At 54.4% G+C, this 18,799-nt stretch overlaps 2 protein-coding genes and 1 long non-coding RNA gene across 32 annotated transcripts, besides 7 other annotated features; 1 reads left to right on the forward strand and 2 right to left on the reverse strand.

Moving 5' to 3' along the window:
* Positions 1–360: 360 nt before the first annotated feature.
* On the reverse strand, positions 361–5,945 carry CALHM2 (calcium homeostasis modulator family member 2). 30 transcript variants are annotated; one of them, XM_047425278.1, is made up of 5 exons: positions 5,731–5,945; positions 5,454–5,611; positions 4,658–4,776; positions 2,975–3,674; positions 361–1,143 (listed from the first exon to the last, which is right to left on the reverse strand). In XM_047425278.1, exons 4-5 carry the CDS (start codon positions 3,514–3,516, stop codon positions 1,095–1,097), a joined length of 591 nt encoding a protein of 196 aa, XP_047281234.1. In that variant the 5' UTR covers positions 3,517–3,674; positions 4,658–4,776; positions 5,454–5,611; positions 5,731–5,945; the 3' UTR covers positions 361–1,094. The 30 variants fall into 30 exon arrangements, 28 of the variants coding, with proteins under 28 accessions (XP_047281234.1, XP_047281226.1, XP_047281231.1 ...); XM_047425270.1 differs by having other exon boundaries at positions 2,962–4,375; XM_047425275.1 differs by having other exon boundaries at positions 4,658–4,860.
* Positions 4,618–4,987: an enhancer, noted in NCBI's record as "active region_3960". NCBI's record gives its function as "activates an Ori minimal core promoter by ATAC-STARR-seq in GM12878 lymphoblastoid cells {active_cell/tissue: GM12878}" and the evidence as "EXISTENCE:reporter gene assay evidence [ECO:0000049][PMID:35858748]".
* Positions 4,618–5,556: a biological region, named in NCBI's record as "H3K4me1 hESC enhancer GRCh37_chr10:105211118-105211738".
* Positions 4,936–5,556: an enhancer, noted in NCBI's record as "H3K4me1 hESC enhancer chr10:105211118-105211738 (GRCh37/hg19 assembly coordinates)". NCBI's record gives its function as "activates a minimal SCP1, AML or CMV promoter by ChIP-STARR-seq in primed H9 embryonic stem cells {active_cell/tissue: H9 hESC(primed)}" and the evidence as "EXISTENCE:reporter gene assay evidence [ECO:0000049][PMID:30033119]".
* Positions 5,557–6,178: an enhancer, noted in NCBI's record as "H3K4me1 hESC enhancer chr10:105211739-105212360 (GRCh37/hg19 assembly coordinates)". NCBI's record gives its function as "activates a minimal SCP1, AML or CMV promoter by ChIP-STARR-seq in primed H9 embryonic stem cells {active_cell/tissue: H9 hESC(primed)}" and the evidence as "EXISTENCE:reporter gene assay evidence [ECO:0000049][PMID:30033119]".
* Positions 5,557–6,346: a biological region, named in NCBI's record as "H3K4me1 hESC enhancer GRCh37_chr10:105211739-105212360".
* Positions 6,017–6,346: a silencer, noted in NCBI's record as "silent region_2780". NCBI's record gives its function as "represses an Ori minimal core promoter by ATAC-STARR-seq in GM12878 lymphoblastoid cells {active_cell/tissue: GM12878}" and the evidence as "EXISTENCE:reporter gene assay evidence [ECO:0000049][PMID:35858748]".
* Positions 6,018–16,270, forward strand: LOC124902494 (uncharacterized). Its single transcript, XR_007062275.1, has 2 exons — positions 6,018–6,811; positions 16,005–16,270. It is a non-coding gene; the product is annotated as an uncharacterized LOC124902494 (long non-coding RNA).
* On the reverse strand, positions 6,815–12,475 carry CALHM1 (calcium homeostasis modulator 1). Its single transcript, NM_001001412.4, has 2 exons — positions 11,772–12,475; positions 6,815–9,322 (listed from the first exon to the last, which is right to left on the reverse strand). The coding sequence occupies exons 1-2, from the start codon at positions 12,324–12,326 to the stop codon at positions 8,837–8,839; spliced, it is 1,041 nt and encodes a 346-aa protein (NP_001001412.3). The 5' UTR covers positions 12,327–12,475; the 3' UTR covers positions 6,815–8,836.
* Positions 12,326–12,485: an enhancer, noted in NCBI's record as "active region_3961". NCBI's record gives its function as "activates an Ori minimal core promoter by ATAC-STARR-seq in GM12878 lymphoblastoid cells {active_cell/tissue: GM12878}" and the evidence as "EXISTENCE:reporter gene assay evidence [ECO:0000049][PMID:35858748]".

Raw genomic sequence — 18,799 nt, forward strand, 5'->3', positions numbered from 1 at the left:
GAAGCTGGGGCTGGCCTGCTTCTTGGACATGAGCACTAGGTTACGAGAGCTAGTTCTGGCCTGCCCACTGAGCGCAGAATCTTCTGACTCGTGAAATTTCAGACTGTTTCCTTCTGAGAAAGGCCAGGCTTCATCTCTTCCCCACACCAAATCAGATAATAGAACCCAACTGCAAAGAGATCATCAGCCCCAGAGCCTTCCCCTGTGTTGAACCCCTGGTACTCACTGCACCCTCCCTGCCACCCCTGTGGGCCATTTTAGTCCTGTCCCCTTCCCTAACACGGCATAGGATTTGGGCCTGGCCCTATGACCACCAGCCTGCTGTGGCATGCCCATTCAATCACACAGACACCAGGCTAGTCCTTTTAGTAAGAAAAACTTTATCAAAAATTTAAATATATAAAATAAGGCCAGAGGCTGCACTGGAGGCCACTTCCCAGTGGTGCACTGCTGCGCTGGGTGTCCCTATGCAGCTAGATACATGTTAACTGCATAGAGTACCATAAAGGAGCCCACTGGTGAGCTTCACTGTCACCTGGCCCTGCTGGCTGGGGCTTCCATTGTCTACTGGGTCTGTCCACACCCCAGATTGCCTTGTGGTCCTTTCCCCTGGCCAAGAAGATAACAGTTTTTTAAAAATCCCCTTCTGATATGGATGTGAGCAAGCAGTGGGGTTCAGTTTGGGACCAAGTAGTGCCATTTACAAAGAGCATGGGAAGCACCTCCTTAGGAGGGGAGCAGGGCCATCTCCACGTTGTCAGGGGCCGCGCCGTTGCCTGCCAGACCCTGGGCCCACTTGTGCAGGCGGCTGTAGAGTGGGAGGCCCTGGTTCTCACGGTACAAGTAGACGCCGGTGATGGCATTCCACTGTGGCCGTGGCTGCGTGCCTTCCACTGGGAAGTTGGCAATCAGTTCCTCATCATCCTTGTTGAGCGCCACAAAGCCAAAGAAGCGGCGCACATTGTTGGCAGCGAGCACCCGAGAGTGCACCTCGGCCGTGCGCTGGAACAGCTGGTCCTCATTGGCGCGGTACTGCGCCCAGTAGGCCTCCTGGCGGTAGCTGAGTGGTGAGCAGTAATGCTTGAGGCACTTGGTCAGGAACACCAGGATGGCCACCACGCCGATGAGCAGCCATCCAAAGAGCTGGCCAGAGAATGGGCACAGTTCAGGAGGGGCGAGGAACTGCCTAAGCCCTACCCCCCAGAGCGAATGGAAAAGGAGCAAGTTCTGCTTGGGTAAGAGAAGCAGGCCCTTGTGGCTGTGATTCCATCGTTTCCTTACCCCCTTTAACTCACACTCTACTTGCGCTTAGACTTAGCCTGCGTTTTCTGCTGCCACCCCTGCAAACTTAAGAGCACCTCCTTCCCCTGCCATCATCTCAGGCCATCAAAACCCAGCTCAACCTGCCAGGCTCAGCTCAGATGCCACCTCTGGGAAGGCTTCAAAGGCCCCTCTGGGAGCACTTGTGCCTTTTCTGAATCTCCCGTGGCCTGGTTCCTCTCATCACCATCTGCCTTGTTTGGAGGTCACACATGTGCTTGTCTGAAATGCTTGGAGGGCAAGGACAGGCAAGGTCATCCTTGTTTCACCACTTGCTCCTGTACAGAGATCTGGGGGCATTTGATCAGCATCAAATAAGTATCATTTCTTTGTCTACCATCTTCCCGCTCTGGTGCTATCTCCAGCCTTTTCTCTCTTTACGTTTCTTTTTCTTTTTTCTTTGTCTTTTTTTTTTGTTTGAGATGGAGTCTTGCTCTGTCGCCCAGGCTGGAGTACAGTGGCGTGATCTTGGCTCACTGCAACCTCCACCTTCCGGGTTCAAGCAGTTCTCCTGCCTCAGCCTCCCAAGTAGCTGAGATTACAGGTGCCCACCACCACTCCTGGCTAATTTTTGTATTTTTAGTAGAGAAAGGGTTTCACCATATTGGCCAGGCTGGTCTCGAACTCCTGACCTCCAGTGATCCACCCGCCTTGGCCTCCCAAAGTGCTGAGATTACAGGTGTGAGCCACTGCCCAGCCTCTGTTTACATTTCTTATTTACCTATTGAAGAAACCTTTTAGAAAATCTGTGCTCCCTTGAGGTCAGGAGTTTGAGACCAGCCTGGCCAACATGGCGAAACCCCATCTCTACTAAAAATACAAAAATTAGGTGGATGTGGTGGCTGCGTGCCTGTAATCCCAGCTACTCGGGAGGCTGAGGCAGGAGAATTGCTTGAACCCAGGAGGCGGAGGCTGCGGTAAGCCAAGATCGTGCCACTGCACTCCAACCTGGCAAGAAGAGTGAGACTCTGTCTCAAAAAAAAAAAAAGAAAAAAAAGAAAACTTGTTCTCCTTCCTGTCTCTCCCTCACCCCCTGCTTCTCTAAGTTAACACTTGCAGCTGAGATTTTCTGCTACTTCCCAGTTCTCTTCCCTTGCCCTCTGTCCCTTGACCAACCTCCTCTCCTTCAGAGCCCAGCTAAGGCTCAGGACGGCAACTGCATCTTCCTGACTCAACACTCCATCCTGACCCAAGGGACTCCCCTTAGGTCAGCAACACTTGAGGCTGACTCAGTGCTTGGCTGGGCCCTTCCTGGGATAGGAATGTGTTCATCCCCAGAGCCAGCCACACTCCACTGTCAAGGGCCCATGCTCAATCTGGCTGGGGTAAGGGGCTTATCTGTGATTGCAATTAAGGCCCAGACTGAGCCAGAAGAATGTTCCTTTAATGTTTAAAACTAATTTGGTCATATACAACTGAGATTTACAGTAAAAAAAAAAATTGATAAAACTGTCTTATTTGTGTCTGGAACTGGCCCTTGCCCCACCATGCACCAGTTAACCAGCCCTGATACCTAACGCTAGTGCTTTCCCACAGACCTCAGCCCCTGAGGACCAACCCCAGCTTTAGCACTAGGCCATCCCCGGACCTCTCACCAGCCACCACTAGGGAAGAGGAGCTTCCCTTTGCACAGCTCCTTACCTGGGACTCATACCTGAGCCTGCGGCTGACCTCCTCCCGGAAGTCTGACAGGTTGTCAGGGTTCTCCTTGCAGGGGAACCTGGCCAGGATTTCAGTGGCGTGGGCTGATGGGAAGTGCTCTTCCCTGGCCGTGAGTGAGGAAGGGTCCACGAACTCACTGAGAGCACAGACATAAGCCTCACCACGCAGCAGGGAGATGACAGACCAGGTGACAGGGGCCACAGCCGCACGTCCCAGGATGGAGCTTAGAAGGAGGAAGGTGGGGGCGGCGGAGCAGTTCTTGGTCCTCCGGTGCTGGCACTCGGCCACGAGGTTCCAGGTGTGGTTGTTGAGGATGATGCCAATGATGAAGAGCACCAGGGCGGGCACGCCGATGGCCGCCAGCCCGTACAGGTAGTTCCGGGCCGGCGAGCAGGGGCAGTGGAAGGCCACCACAGAGAACAGCTCCTGGCTGCCCACCGTGCCCAGTGCCACCAGGCCGTTGAAAATCATCACATCCTTGCTCTTGAAGAAAAGTGACAGGAAGCGGAAGTTCTCTGCGATCAGGGCTGCCATGGCGATAGTCGTGGCGGGGTGGATTGCAGGAGAGGAGGCAGGAGGAGACGGGATTGATGGTTGCTGGTGGTACTAGGAAGGGGCACAGGCTGGGAGGCGCTGGACGGCAGGGTGTGGTTGTGCTATTTTATCCCCAGCTGTGGTTGGCCTGGTGTTTCCTGTGGAGCAGATGACCGATAAGTGTTTCCCTCTGAAAACCAGGAGTTGAGGAAGATGCTAGTGTGGACAGGCTGGGGAGAAAGGAAGGACCATAGGGCCCCAGGGAAGTGACAGTTGCCACTGTTCACTGAGTTCCTCCAGGGTGCATGGCACCCCTCATTTCCCATCCTCACAGTCCCACGTTGAGCTGTGTGCCCGCCGTGCACTAGGGAAAGTGAAGGCTTCCTGAGGACGAGTGGCTCGCCAGGGTCACAGATGAGAGGCAGACTGAGATTCAAGCTTGGGTGACCTGCCTCAAATGCTTAGGTTCTTTTTGCCACCACGAGCTTCTCCTGGGGTAGGGCTTGGGGGTGGCCCATGGTGCTAATGCATGTGGGGTGCTGACCGGCTTTCCCTCTGGGAGTCCAGGTGGCGCATATTAGCAGAGGGGCCAGGGACTCCTTGGATCCAGGGCGTGTCCTTAGGGTCTCAGCCTTGAGGGTGTAAAAGCTAAAGTGAGTGTCCGGGTGGATAAGGGACTTGGATAGGATCCTGCCGTGTGGGCTGGGGTGGGTACAGCAAGATGCCAGAATCCCTGGAGTTCGCAAGGACATTATCTTTTTGGAGACCTCAGGGTCTGATCACACTTCATGACTGTTCTCTGGGCCTCAGATTCCTCATCAGTGAAAAGAGGATAAATCATCCTGAGCCTTGCTCTTTCCTAGGGATGTTGGAGGGAAAGAAAAGAATAAAAGATGCCTGATTGTGCTCTGCGTGAAACTCTCCATCTCTTCCACCCTGTCTTGTCTTTGGGGTGGGGACGATTCTCCTGCCTGCAAAGATCAGGGAACTGAGACCTGAAGAGGATAAAGTGCCTTGCTGAGGCCCAAGAAATACAGAGGTGCCACAGCAGGACCTCTAACCACAACCTAAGGAGACTTGGGAAGTGGATAAGGGTGATTCTGCACTAAGTGAACCCTCTTTTTTTCTGTCTCCTACTGACCTTGCCGTGTCCATCCACGGGTGTCCCGAAGAACCTCCTCTTCCGCAGCCGTGACCCCTCTCCTATCCAGCAGCCTCCCAGCAGCTCCGCTCCACCCCGCCTGCCAGCAACAGGAAGCCCTGGTGAGACCAAAGGCTCAGCGGTGCCACCAGCTCATCCGGAGATTATTCTGCCTTGGTCTGGGCTGTAGCGACGCTGGCAACCTGCCGGGAAGTGGCCATGGCCTCGGGCAACAGCGAAGTTTAGCCCAACTCCCTTCCCAGCCTCCACCCACACAAGCCTGAGAGACAGGCCAGGGTGTGGCCCCATGTCCTCCCCCTCTGGAGGGTGAAAAACAAAACTCCCCAGGCCAGAGGAAGCCAGGGAGTGGAGGGATGGGGTGAGCGCCAAACACAGACCTAGCCCTGTTCCCTTCCATGCTTCATGGAGGGATCACCCCTTCTAGATCACCCCTTCTGTCCCTGCCAAGGAAGGCTGCCAGATGGGCTCAGGCAGAGCCATGTGGCCATGCAGACTCCAAGAAAAGGAGAAGCTGGAGGAGGAGGACCAGGAGGAACAACAGGAGGAGGAGGAGGAGGAGGAGGAGGAGGAGGAGTCTGATTCTTCCCCCACTTCACAGCCTGGAGCTTCCAGCCTAACTTCCTGGGAAAGGCAGTTTGCATCACTGCTGGGGAAGAATGGGTTAAAGTCAGCCCCCTTTGCCCCATCCTTTTCCCTTCTTGGCTTCTAGGCTCCTAATTAGCTCCCTGTGGAGGCCCTGGGTTCATAAACTGGCTCAAAGTGGGGTACAAGATACCTGCACAGGGTGGGTGGTGAGCAGAGGATGGGCCAGGCCATCTTCTGAGACCACTGCCCCCAGGCCAAGGATGGGTCACATCCAGACCCCCAGTGGGACCTCCTCCAACATCAGTGACGACAGGAGACTGGCGGCTCGGGGAGGGGCAGGACTGCTCCCTGTTCAACCGGGTGGAGGGAACCTCAGCTAGGGGCCTCTCTCCCTCTGGGCAGCGTGGGACAGGCCCCACCATGCTCCGCTGACACCTGGCACACCCCAGGGAGGGCCCCTTCCTTACCTGGGGCCAGCTGTGGGCACTTGTGGCCATGGCCTCCTCGGGGCCGGACTCTCCAAGTGGCCTCCAGGAGGGCGGTGCAGGGCAGCGGCGGCCTCCGCCGTTCCCTCCCGCTTTTCTTCTGCACGGGGGCCTGGGGCTGGTGGCGGCTTCAGACTAATCTAACTCCAGAAAAGAGAGAAGAAAACAGTGGGATGGAGTCTGCGCGCCAGTGAGTGGAAAAACAGCCTCCCGGCGCCACCAGGCAGAGGAGGGCGGGCCCCGAGGGCGGCGCGAGAGGAGAGGAGCCGAGAGGAAGTTGAGATGCCTGTTCTGCAGCTGCTGCGCGTCCCACCGACCCGCTGCTCGCCGTCCCTGGGCCGTGCTGGCCCTCCGCCCTCGGCCCAGACCCGGACCGGGCCATGCTCCACACCAATGGGACCAGTCGGGAGGGCCACGTGGGGATGTGGAGGCATTGGGGAGATCTGACCCAGACCTGCCCCCCATGACAGTTTCAAGAGCACCCCACGTACTTGACCCCCGCTGGGCAGAAGCTACCAAAGGAGACCCCGCGAGGGTCAAGGGAGGGTGTCGTCAGGCCCGCGCTGAGCCCTGCAGGATGCTCAGGGCCAGGGCCCCACCCTCTACTGGCCCTTCTCCCTCAGAGTTGTCCATTGACTGGACAAACCATCCCCAATGCTGACTCTTTGACCTATAGTCAGCTAACTCCCCGGGACCTGCTTCGGATCCCTGGAGGGCTGAGGATTGAATTCAGGAGCCTAGGGATTCTCCGGGTCCTGCAGGCAGAGCTCCAACTGGTGGGTGAAAGTTACAAGGAGGCAGGTTTCTGAAGGAAGCCCTGTGTAATAATCAGAGCTGCCCAGCCTGTATCTAAAAGTGGTCAAGATGCGGGCTGAAGCGTCACGGGTCAGGAATGCTGCACAGGAGAGTCTACGGACAGGCTAGATGACCCTTAGCATGGAGGGAGAGGACCCCCGACATCTGTCAGCTCTGCAGTGCTCGTGGTTCCGTCATGGTGGAGCTGCCGAGTGACCCGCTGGCCTCCCTGAGCTGGGCTTGACCATATGTACGAAGGAAAGAAAAGGTACCAAGTTCTGCTTGTTTATTTGTTTGTTTCAGATCCCAGCATGTGCTAAACACAGTCCCAGATCCTTCCCTAAAAGTTATCTTCCTCTATCCTTACCACAATCCTGAAAATCAGGTCTTTTTTAAAAAATAATTTTTTCATTTTAAAAAAATTATAAATCTTCTCTTTATTCTTCTTCTTCTTCTTATTATTATTATTACTTTACAGAGACAGAGTCTTGCTATGTTGCCCAGGCTGGTCTCCAACTCCCAGGCTCAAGTGATCCTCCCTCCTTGGCCTCCCAAGTGCTGGGATTACAGGCATGAGCCACTCCGCCTGGCCAAGCAGGTCTTCTAATATCCATTTTATAGACAGACACACTGAGGCTTAGAGTGGCTGGGTGACTGGCCACAAGTCCTGCAGTGCTGGTATTTGAACTCAGGTGTGCCTGACCCAAAGCTTTGCTCTTCATCACATTTGTACCTCCTGATACCTCCGGGCCTTCTCTTCCCACTGGAAGTGCTGCCACCCACCAACATACACCTTGTTTTTTGCTCATCCTAATCCTCCCTGACTTCAGGGCCCATACCAACTCCTACCTCCTGGAAGAGCCCTCCCAGCCCACCTTGGCCCACAAAGATCTGAGCAACTCCTCCCAAATAATTAAGAGGAGGGAAACTGGACCCCAGAAGTGGGAATAGAGGGAAGGATGGATAAAAAAGGATGGAATCATGCCAAGATCAAAATGAATCCTTAGATGCTTGGGACTTATGTCTCAGAGCTGAGGGCGGTGCTGAGAAACCTATCTGTACCTCTGTTTCCTCCTCAACAAGATGGAAGCTCGAGTGTTTGTGTTGCTGTCTCATCCCTGCCCAGGGGAGGAGGAAGGAAGTCCTTAGGTTCAGAAATCAACAAATACATTAGCCACCCTGTGCTGGGTGCCTACTATGTGCCATGTGCTTTTACACACAGCAACCCCATGATGGCGGGCCGGGGGGGCCTCATCCTCATTGTATAGATGAAGAAACGAAGGCACAGGCAGTGATGCAGCTGGCCCAGGGACAGGGTTTGTGAGTGGTAGAGACACCATTTGACCCAGTTCTGTCTCACTCTGGAATCTGAGCTGCTTTCTCTTTACACTGCTCTCCTCCACCCTCATCCCACCTGGGCTAGAGCCTTGGAGCTCCTCTTAGCCTCTTAGAACTCCATCCCCAAGAGGTGGGGTCTTTGAGAAAAATGGAGAGACTTCAGCTTCTGTGTCTAACTTCTCAAGCCTTGGGGATGGTCTGATTTCCCCTGGAGACCTGGATGTGACGGGGGTATTAAGGTGGTTTTTCAAAGACCCCTCTACAGGAGGACTTTTGTGCTTGGTTTGTGCTAAATAAACATGCAGTCCACCTGGACAATTGTCACATGACCCCCATGGTGACCACACACTCTGACCTCTTCCATGTGAACCTAGCTTCTGACATCTTGTCTCATCGCCTGTCACCCCAGGTGTGTCACACCAGGTAGGCTGTGTGTCATGTCCTTATGGACCTGCCCCGGCACACCCAGTCTCACCTACGACACGCTTGCCCAAATCAGAGGGCTCCCACTTCATGAGACGCCTGATGATTCCCACTCCCCGAGCCCGGAGCATAAAGGAAGAGAGGTACTGAACAGCCACAGACGAGGGTGGACCCTGGGGCAGGGATGTCTGTTGAACCTGGGAGGAGACAGTGAACATCAGCCTGGGAAGGGCTGGGCAGAGGGGAGCCATTGGTCCCTGTACCTGCCATGACAGTTCCGACCCCTTTAGACTAATACTGCTCATGGGCCCACTGCCCTAGGGCCATCCAGGGCAGTGTCACACCTGAAGGCATCAGATCCCCTTCCAGCTCCAAATTTCCTGCCTCCAATGGGCAGGCGAGTGCTAGGGAGTGTGGATCTGCCTAGGGGAGTACTGCCCAGCACTGAAACCCTTCCTTTTTCCACCTGGTTTGGGGGTTGGAGGGGCTGTGGGCTCAGATCCCCGTTCCTGCCTCTTCAGCTGGCCACACCTCACACTTTGCTGAAGTAGGTGGCCACCTCCTTACGCGGAGGCCGGGGCCCACCCCCAGCCCAGCCGTTGCCCATCAGCGGTGGCTCCTCCTGGCCCAGCCGCAGAGGCGGTTTGCATTTGTGCCAGCTCGTGAGCAGCCTGTTCATGGTGCCTTGATCCGTGATGCCACGCAGCTTCTCCCTTTCCTCCTCCGCACCATCGGGGGTCGTGGGGGCAGCTGCGGAAGCAGGGGCCGTGGCCAGTGTCCCGTGGGTGTGACCCAGCTCCAGGTCATGGTTCATGGCCTCGAAGAACTGCTGGATGCAGACCTTGGCAAAGGCTTTGGCGTGCTCCGTGCACGTCTCGTCGAAGAGCTTGCGCTCGATGTCGATATAGTGGGACCAGTACTTGCTCTTGAGGAAGGCGGCCTGCGTGAAGCAGGGCCGCACAGAGCGCACCACGAATGCCAGCAGAGTGGTCAGCAGCACGAAGGACCAGCCCAGCGCCTGTGGGAAGATGAGAGAGAGTCACGGGGCACTGTCCTTGGGCCTCCGAGCCTGTTCAGACTCCCAAAGCACTCTCTATGCCAGTGCCTCTAGGGCAAAGAGCACAAATTGGGCAAGTGAGCTTGCCTCTTGGCCTCCATTTCCTCATCTGTAAAATGGGCATAGAAATTGAAATAATGGAGATAGGTGCACCTCATGGAAAGAAGATCACGTGGGTAAAGCACCCACCGTGCTGGCGGGGCACCCAGGGCCCAGGAGTTAAGTGGGCAGACCCTGGAGTTAGGCTGCTTGGGTTTGAATGCTGTCTCCACTATTTACTAGTTGACCAGGAGCAAAGCACTCAACTTCTCTGTGCCTCAGTTTCCACACCTATAAAGCAGCTGGTGGTAGCACCTATCTCAGAGTGTTGTTGTGAGGACTGAATGTGATAAGCTTAGTGCAGTGCCTGGTACCCAGTGCTCAGTGACTATTAACCATTACTGTTGTGCCAATAGGCCCTCACTTACTTACTGTGCCTCTTCTTTCAGGAAGCCTTCCTTGATCTCCCCAGGCCATAGTGGCCCATTTTCCTCTGAGTCCTGAACCTCTCCTTTGGCTCCTAGTATTGTCACCAGTGCCAAATGAGCACCTCCTCTGTGTCGGTTCTGAGCTGGGCCTTCAGGGGTCATAGAGGCGAATCAGGCAAGAAATCAAACTCTGCGCTGAAGAGCACCCTGCGCTTGGTTCCAGCTCTGCTCTGTCACCTCACTGCAGGGCACGGGGCAGGATGCTCCCCTGGCCCACGCTTCAGGGTTAGGCCCCAGCCGCACAGAGAAGCACTTGGGCAGATCAGGACTGGGGCTGAGGGCAAGCCCAGATGCCTATGGGGCCAGGCAGGTCGTGACAGAGCACACGGGGTGGGGAGCCACTGAGCATGTGCATAGGCTGGGGGCACCCCAGCCTGTTCCAGGAGTACACGCGGGCCTGGTGGGGCTGGATTTTCTGGATTTCCAACTTGAAAATCTGATTTTTATGTGAAAAATTCCGATTTTTATTTTAATCTTATTTACTTTTTTGTTTTGAGACAGGTCTTACTCCGTTACCCAAGCCAGAGTGCAGTGGCACAATTACATTTCACTGCAGCCTTGACCTCCCAGGCTCAAGCAATCCTCTCACTTCAGCTTCCTGTGTAGCTGGGACTACAGGCATGTGCCACCAAGCCTGGCTAATTTTTTTCTTTTCTTTTCTTTTTTGGAGACAGGGTCTCACTATATTCCCTAGGCTGGTCTTGAACTCCTGGGCTCTAGCAATCTTCTTGCCTTGGCCTCCCAAAGTGCTGGGATTACAGACATGAGGCACATCGTACCCGGCCCATTCTGGTTTTTAGAAGATGCCAACAAATTCTAAAGTTGAATCTAGAATTCAGTCTCTGAAGGCCAAATGAAACATGTATAGGCCAGGCAGCCTGTGGCCTCTGGGGCCCTCTCAGCTTATGATGTGGTGGCTTAAAGGTCAGGTGGAATGACAGCTGCCAAGGCCCTGAGGCCGGGGACGATGGGATGAGTGCCCACAGGAGAGGAGGCACAGGTTAGGGAGGAGAGGGAAGTAGAGTTCAGTCGGGATGCTTAGAGCATGACATTCACCAAGGTCATCTGGGTGGTGACAGAGGCCTCCCAGGAGAGAGGCCCCTGCTAGAGTGGGAAGCCAGGGGTGTCTGGACTTGCCAGGGCAGAGTGTGCACGTTTCTCCAGTCCTTGCAGAGCAGGCTGGCCCCAGCCCCTCGCCCTGACAGCACCTGGTCTGCCAGCTGTGAGGGCAGGCTGCCTGGGTGGTCCTCCCCACACGGCACTGACTGGGTTGGAGAAGGCCCGAGAGGCTTGGATGGGTGAGCATGGAGGGGCAGAGGATGTGGGAGTAGGGCTGGGGAGGACCCTCACTCTGGCTGACCCGTCAGTGGTCTCTCCAAACTGCCTTTCCATCACATCCCAACAGGGCCTCCTCTCTCTCACCCATGCACCCCCTTCCAGGACACCCTGGTCCTCAGCTCCCACTCCCCAGCAGGGAAGCACCAGATGGGGGCATTTGCTAGGGAAATGTACCCAAATGGCCTAGCCACCCACTGGCCTCACCACTGCCGAGGCCCGGAAGAGGGAAAGCATGCAAATTCCTCCAGCTTCCAAGCTCAGAAATCAGGATGGGGATGCAGGTCCACTCTGGGGACCTCAGGATAGGGGTCAGGCCCACTCACCAGAAGCCTCTGGACAGAGGGAGCCAAAGCACGTTCTCCGGATGGCCCTGGGCTGAGGGCAGATGCGTGGCTCTGCCTTCAGCCTCAGTTGGGAAGATGCCCCCCACACCTCGGAGCTCCACCTGAGCAGAGGCCCCATTTTGAGAGGTAGGGGGATAGGGCCCTCCCAGAGGGACCTTGATCTGCCAGGGAGACCCAGCGTGAAGCCATGCGGCCCCTCACCTGGGAGATGCAGCGGAGGTAACGCACGGCCACCTCTCGGGCCAACAGCCAGTCGCCATCGTAGATCTCAGGGCAGGGCACCCGGGCCAGCAGGCGGGCGAGCTCGGGGGCAGGAAGGCCGGGTGCCAGGCTGCCGTTGCCCAGTGCGCTCACGGGCACGGCAGTGCAGAAGGCACAGAGGAAGCATTTGCCGTCGAGTAGCGTGACGGCCACCCAGACGACAGGCGCGATGAGGGCGCGCTGGGCCATGGAGCAGAACATGTAGCGCAACACAGCGGGGTCCTTGGCCCGGCGGCCCAGCGGCCGCTTCCACTCTTCGGCCAGCATGGACACGTTGTTGTTCATGACCAGGCCAAGCAGAAAGAGCACCAGGGGTGGCGCCAGCAGGATGCCCGCGCTGTAGGCTGCATTGTAGCCCGGCAGGCAGGGGCAGTTGAAGTCGAAGGCCGAGTACATCTGGGCACTGGCCAGGGCCATGATGCCACAGATGCCATTCATGAAGGACTCCTGGTTGGACTGCAGGAACTGGAAGATCATCCGGAACTTGTCCATCATGCCCGCTGTGGGGCCCGGCCTCCTCTTCCCAACTCACTGCTGCCTCCAAGAGGGCCCCTGCTGCCCACCCTGCCCACTGGGTGCCCACCTCATGACTCGGGCTCTCCTGGCTGGGACCAACAGAGCTCAGAGCAGAGGCTGAGGTCACTGTCGCTTTGAGGAATCTTTAGTCAGGTGCTGGCTGAGAGGATGCAGATTGACCAATCCTGTGGGTTCAGCCAGGGCTGTGCCCCTCCCTCCTGGGCTTCTCTCTCTCTGCAGCCGCCTCCACCTCCGGCGCTAGCACCTGCTAGAGACCAGCTTTCTGTGGGTGTGGGAGGGAGGGAGGGAGGGGCGGGAGAGAAGGCTCAGACACAGACTGGGAAGACACTGTCTCCAGCAGGGCTGGAGTTTGGAGAGTCCAGGGCTGCTGCAGGGGCCTGAGGTCCTGGACCTTGTCTTCTGGGCTCCTAGGAAGCTCATCGCCCTCCTTTTGCCCTTCCCACTGGGGGTCTCCTCCATGCTGTATCAGAATCCTAGAGGGCTCCTCCATCAGTTCCCCGATGACGGTGTGGTGCTGCGGTGGTGGTGGCTGCAGTGAGGGTGCTGCTGGTGGTCGTGGGGATACTAGCCACAGAGGGGATGGCAGTGGTGGTGCAGGGGATGGTGCTAATGTGGACGTGGCGTAGAATGAAACATCCTGGATTTGCTGGCAGAGGACTTGAATTTGATAAGTTGCCTGGGCAGGGGCTGTGGCCTGTGAGTGTGCTGCAGGGGTCCTTGTGTCAGCCTGCCTGTGTCTCTGTGGGTGTGCCTGTGTGTTTGTGGGCTGTGGATGGCAAACCCTTTCCTGGCTCCACCTCCGACCTCTACTTCCCCAATCAAAAAATAAAGGGGTCTGCATGCTGACAGCAAGGGGGTGAAAAAATTAAATGGGTGGGGTGATGGGGTTTCATGCCTGGAGTTTGGGCCTCCAGAGTGCCTGCAGAAACCTGGCCAGCCCTCCTCCACAGACACATCAAAGAGGAGGAGCTGAGCATGCTCGCTCTGATGCCCAGGGCTCTCCCTGACCTCCCAAGGGCAGGTCAGATCCAGCTCCAGCCGGGGGGCTCCTGTCTGGGGAAAGGGGTGGGGTCTGGGGCTGAGACAGAGCCTGGCCAGGACATCCCCATGGGGCCCACAGATCTGTGCCTCCCCATGTGTGTGCCCACATGTGAGCTCACTGTGCCTTTGGGCCTCTGCATCTGTGTATCCGTGTGTGTGTGTGACCACGTTAGTGATCTTTGTGTCTGAGGGTCTCTGTATCACTGACCAGAACCAGCATTGACCCAGGCTTGCCCTGGGTGGAGCCCCATGGCAGGCACTTACATGCATTGCCTGTGTAATCTTCTTACAATCCTATGGGACAGGTACTGCCATCCCCATTTTACAGAGATGGGGACTGAGGCTTGGAGAGGTTAAGTTATCAGCTGAGAGTTACCCAGCTTGTAGGTGGAGGAGTGGGACTGGAACCCAGGCTAGCTCTCTCGTGGGGCTGGGAGTGGGGGGTGGAGGAGGGGTCAGGAAATGTTTTTTGGCCTTTCTCTTCTGGGCAAATCAGGCTCCTGTTCTGCTGGTCTGGGTGGAGATGCTGGAGTGTCACCAATAGGATACAGTGGGGAAGGATGTTGCTCCTCTTGCTGTCAGGCTGGGCTTGGGGCAAATGGAGCCCCCAGGCTGGTAGCCTCCGGAAGACCCTTGCAGAGGCTCCCCAGGGAACACTATAGGTGGATGGCAGGATGAGGGAGGTCCAGTGATGGAGGCGACCTACCCTGCACGTCTCCTGCAGTGTTTGCGTGCATGGCCAACAGCAGGTGTGAGCTGATGCCAGAGCTGGGGTGGGCTTGGGGTGGTCCAGGAAACCAGGAGGAGTGGTTTCAGGGGGCCACCTGGAATTCTGTCTTGTATATTGCACACAGCTCCCTGTTTGTAGATAATGTGCCTTTCTAGTAGTGCCCATACTGCGTGCTCTAACCACATATACACATTCTGCAAATTCTAAGCGCAGTGTTATTTTAAAATACTTGAGGCTGGGCACAGTGGCTTAAACCTGTAATCCCAGCACTTTTGGGAGGCCAAGGTGGGAGGATCACTTGAACCCAGGAGTTTGAGGCTGTGGTGAGCCATGATCACAATACTGCATTCCAGTCTGGATGACAGAGCAAGACCTTGTCTCTAAATAAATAATAATAATAATAATAATAATAATAATAGTTTGATTAGATTCTCAATCAATCATTATCATAAGAATTTTGGTTGCAGGGTGGGCACTGTGGCTCACAGCTGTAATCCCAACACTTTGGGAGGCCACGGAGGGAGGATTGCTTGAGCCCAGGAGTTTAAGACCAGCCTGGGCAACATAGAGAGACCCAGTCTCTATGCCTGAAAAAAAAATGTGTTACAGTTGTCAGTGAGAGTGAAGAGTGAGGGTTAATTCTTTTTTTTGAGACAGGGTCTCACTCTGTCACCCAGCCTGCTGTGCAGTGGCATGATCTCAGCTCACTATAACCTCTACCTCCAAGCCATCCTCCCACTTCAGGCTCCTGAGCAGCTGGGACTATAGGTGTGCATCACCATGCCCGGCTAATTTTTGTATTTTTTCCTTGTCTCAAAAAAAAAATTATCACCTACTTGGGGTAAGTTTTTTTGTGGGTGGTGTTTATCCAACATTTGAAGAAATCATCATTAAAGAGCCTTCATGAGGGCGGGTGCGGTGGCTCACACCCATAATCCCAGCACTTTGGGAGGCTGAGGTGGGCAGAGCACAAGGTCAGGAGATCAAGAAACCCTGTCTGTACTAAAAATACAAAAACTTAGCCGGGCGTGGTGGCGCACGCTTGTAGTCCTAGCTACTCGAGAGTCTGAGGCAGGAGTATCGCTTGAACCCAGGAGACAGAGGTTGCAGTGAGCCGAGATCGCGCCATTGCACTCCAGCCTGGGTGACAGAGTGAGACTCCTATATCTCAAAAAAAAAAAAAAAAAAAAAAAAGACCTGATGAGCTGGGAGTGGTGTGGCTCATGCCTGAAATCCTAGCACACTGGGACACCGAGATGGGCGGATCACTTGAGATCAGGAGTTCCAGACCAGCCTGGCCAACATGGTGAAACCTCGTCTCTACTAAAAATACAAAAATGGCTGGGTGTGGTGGCTCACACCTATAATCCCAACACTTTGGGAGGCCGAGGCGGGAGGATCACCTGAGGTCAGGAGTTCGAGACCAGCCTGGCCAACATGGTGAAACCCCATCTCTACTAAAAATACAAAAATTAGCTGGGTGTGGTGGCGGGCACCTGTAATCCCAGCTACTCAGGAGGCTGAGGCAGGAGAATCACTTGAACCCAGGAGATGGAGGTTGCAGTGAGCCAAGATCATGCCACTGCACTCCAGTGTGGGTGACAGAGCGAGACTCTGTCTCAGAAATATAAATAAATAAATAAAATAAAGAGCCTCGAATAGGAATTGCCTGTGGTCATTTCATGCAAAAAAACACCTCATATTAAAAAGTGCTCACGAAAGCAAGCTCATTTCTCATTTTGAGAAGTTTAGGAGGTTTCATTTGGATGTTTTACACAAGTCTTTCCTAATACTTTATATTTCATTTTTTCCTATCATAATTATATAAGATAAAGAAATAGTAATCTTTTTGTTTTTTTCACCAGGCATCCCATGGATGTCTCCTAGTTCCCTCACTGTGGCCCAGTGTTGTATATCAACGTCATCATGGATACACCTCCTGTGGGAGGTGATTAGGCCATGAGGGTGGAGCCCTCGTGAATGGAATTGGTGCCCTTATAGAAGGGACCCTGGACCCTGGACCTCCACTCTGCAAGGATACAGTGAGAAGGCAGAACCCAGCCTCAGGTACACTCATCTCAGACTTGCAGCCTCCTGAACTGTGAGAAATAAATGTTTGTTGTCTGTGGTATGTTTTGTTACTGTGGCCCAAGCTGTTGGACACAGGGACACCCCTGGGCTCCCAGGCACCACCCTTCCCTCACGCTGCTGCTCTCCTGGAACACGGTCGTGCCTCACTGCCCATCCAAAGCCACATCCCGGCTCCACCTGCTCACTCCTTGTTTCTTCCACTCGATGGTCAAATTTTTCTCTTACCAAGAAGCTGGCCAGGTGCAGTGGCTCACACCTGTAATCCCAGCACTTTGGGAGGCTGAAACAGGCAGATCATTTGAGGTCAGGAGTTCGAGACCAGCCTGACCAACATGGTGAAACCCCGTCTCTACTAAAGATACAAAAAAAAAAAAAAAATTAGCCAGGTGTGGTGGTGTGTACCTGTAATTCCAGCTACTCGGGAGGCTGAGGCAGGAGAATCGCTTGAACCCAGGAAGCGGAGGTTGCAGTGAGCTGAGATCATGCCACTGCCTGGGCGACAGAGCAAGACTCCCTCTCAAAAAAAAAAAAAAAAAAAAAAAAAGCCATGTCACAGAGCTAAGAGCAACCCAACCAGTGATCTGGGTTCAAGTCTCAGTCTGGCCACACACTAGCCAGGGACCTTGGGCAAGTCATCTAACCTCTGGGTGCTGCAGCGTTCTCATCCGTGAAATGGGGAGAATGATAGCGCCTGCCTCCCAGGTGGTTGTGAAGATTCAATCAGCTGTGCAGGTCAAGAGTTTCGCAGTGCGCCAGGCACACAAGGAGTGGTCGTGAACCATCTTTACAACATTGTAATAATAATAGTGATCATCTCTGCACCTGAGCTTCAGTAGTGCATTTTCAAAATCTGTATTAGTTTTCTATTAACTGCTGTAACAAATGTCCACAAATACAGTGGCTTAAAACAACATGAATTTTTTTTTCTTGTAGTTCTAAGGTCAGGAGCCTGTAATGGATCTTGGCTGACTAACATCAAGTGGCTGGCAGGCTGTTCCTTCTGGACGCTCTAGAAGAGAATCCATTTCCTCGTATTCTCTACTGTGTAGAGGACACCCACATTCCCTGGCTTGTGACATCGCATTCCTCCAACCTCTGCTTCCCTCATCACAGCTCCTTCTCTGACTCTCACCCTCCTCCTACCTCTCTCTCTCTCTCTCTCTTTTTTTTTTTTTGAGATGGAGTCACTCTGTCACCCAGGCTGGAGTGCAGTGATGTGATCTCAGCTCACTGCAACCTCCGACTCCTGGGATCAAGTGATTCTCCTGCCTCAGCCTCCCTAGTAGCTGGGACTACAGGCGTGCATCACCATGCCTGGCTAATTTTGTATTTTTAGTAGAGACGGGTTTTCACCATGTTGGCCAGGCTTGTCTCGAACCCCTGACCTCAGGTGATCCTCCCCTCTCAGCCTCACAAAGGGCTAGGATTACAGGAGTGAGCCACCGTGCCGGGCCCTACCTCTCTCTTATAAGGACATGCAGGACCCACCTGGCTAATCCAGGATCATTTCCTCATCTCAAAATCCATAATTTAATCACATCTGCAAAGCCCTTTTTGCCATGGAAGGTAACATATTCACAGGTTCTAGACATTAGGAGGTGGACTCTTGGGGGCCCATGGTTCTGTTTAACTTCAGTAGGGGTCTTTGGTGGTGCATTTATCAGTGCTTAGTCTTCTCCATCTCTTCCCTATAACTCCCAGGTCACGACTAAATAAATAAAAAGCAGGATGTCACACACATTTTGGAGCATGGTGGCAAACTCAGCCATGGTCACCACTGTGGGATGTACACTCGCCTCCTGCTTCCTGGCCTTGGGGCTGTTGTCCAAGCACCCAGAGGGCACAGCTGGTGAGTGCCCTCTGGTTTGGAGGAGTTAGGGGTGTCATGAAAAGCAGCATGCAAAGGAGGCTCCTGTGGACAGTGGGTGCCGTACTTTTAGGAAAATGCCCAATTTGCGTAGGAGAGTGTGAGTGTGGGGTGCGTCCAGAGATTGGGGCAGTGGAGGAGGCAGGAGCCAACAGCAAATGTGGCTGCCAAGGCATCTCAGGTGCTGGTAGGCTGGGTTATCAGAGGTATGAAGTCTCTACCTGAGAAAGATAAAATGCTACGTTCTCCTTCATCAGCCAAACCCTATGGGGGTGTATGCTGTGGCAAAATGGTAGCACTCACCAAGTCATTCACGTGTTCCCTTATAATTCTCAGCCTCTGTGCCAGGGAGGCTGGGGCCTTGTGCCTGAGTTCTGGTGCAGAATCTACCCTCATCCTTTACCATCTTCCCATTCTTCTCTGAGGGTGGCCATGGACACCAGGTGTAACAGACCTCTGTGCCCCGCCCACTCCCCTCAGACCTCACCACTACCTTCTTTCTTTTTTTTTTTTTTTGATATGGAGTCTCACTCTGTCGCTAAGGCTGGAGTGCAGTGGTGTGATCTCAGCTCACTGCAACCTCGGCTTCCTGGGTTCAAGTGATTCTCTTGTCTCAGCCTTTCAAGTATCTGGGACAACAGGTGCCCGCCACCACGCCTGGCTAATTTTTGTATTTTTAGTAGAGATGGGGTTTCACCATGT

The sequence above is a fragment of the Homo sapiens genome, chromosome 10, assembly GCF_000001405.40.
Source record: "Homo sapiens chromosome 10, GRCh38.p14 Primary Assembly".
Taxonomy (NCBI): Eukaryota; Metazoa; Chordata; class Mammalia; order Primates; family Hominidae; genus Homo; species Homo sapiens.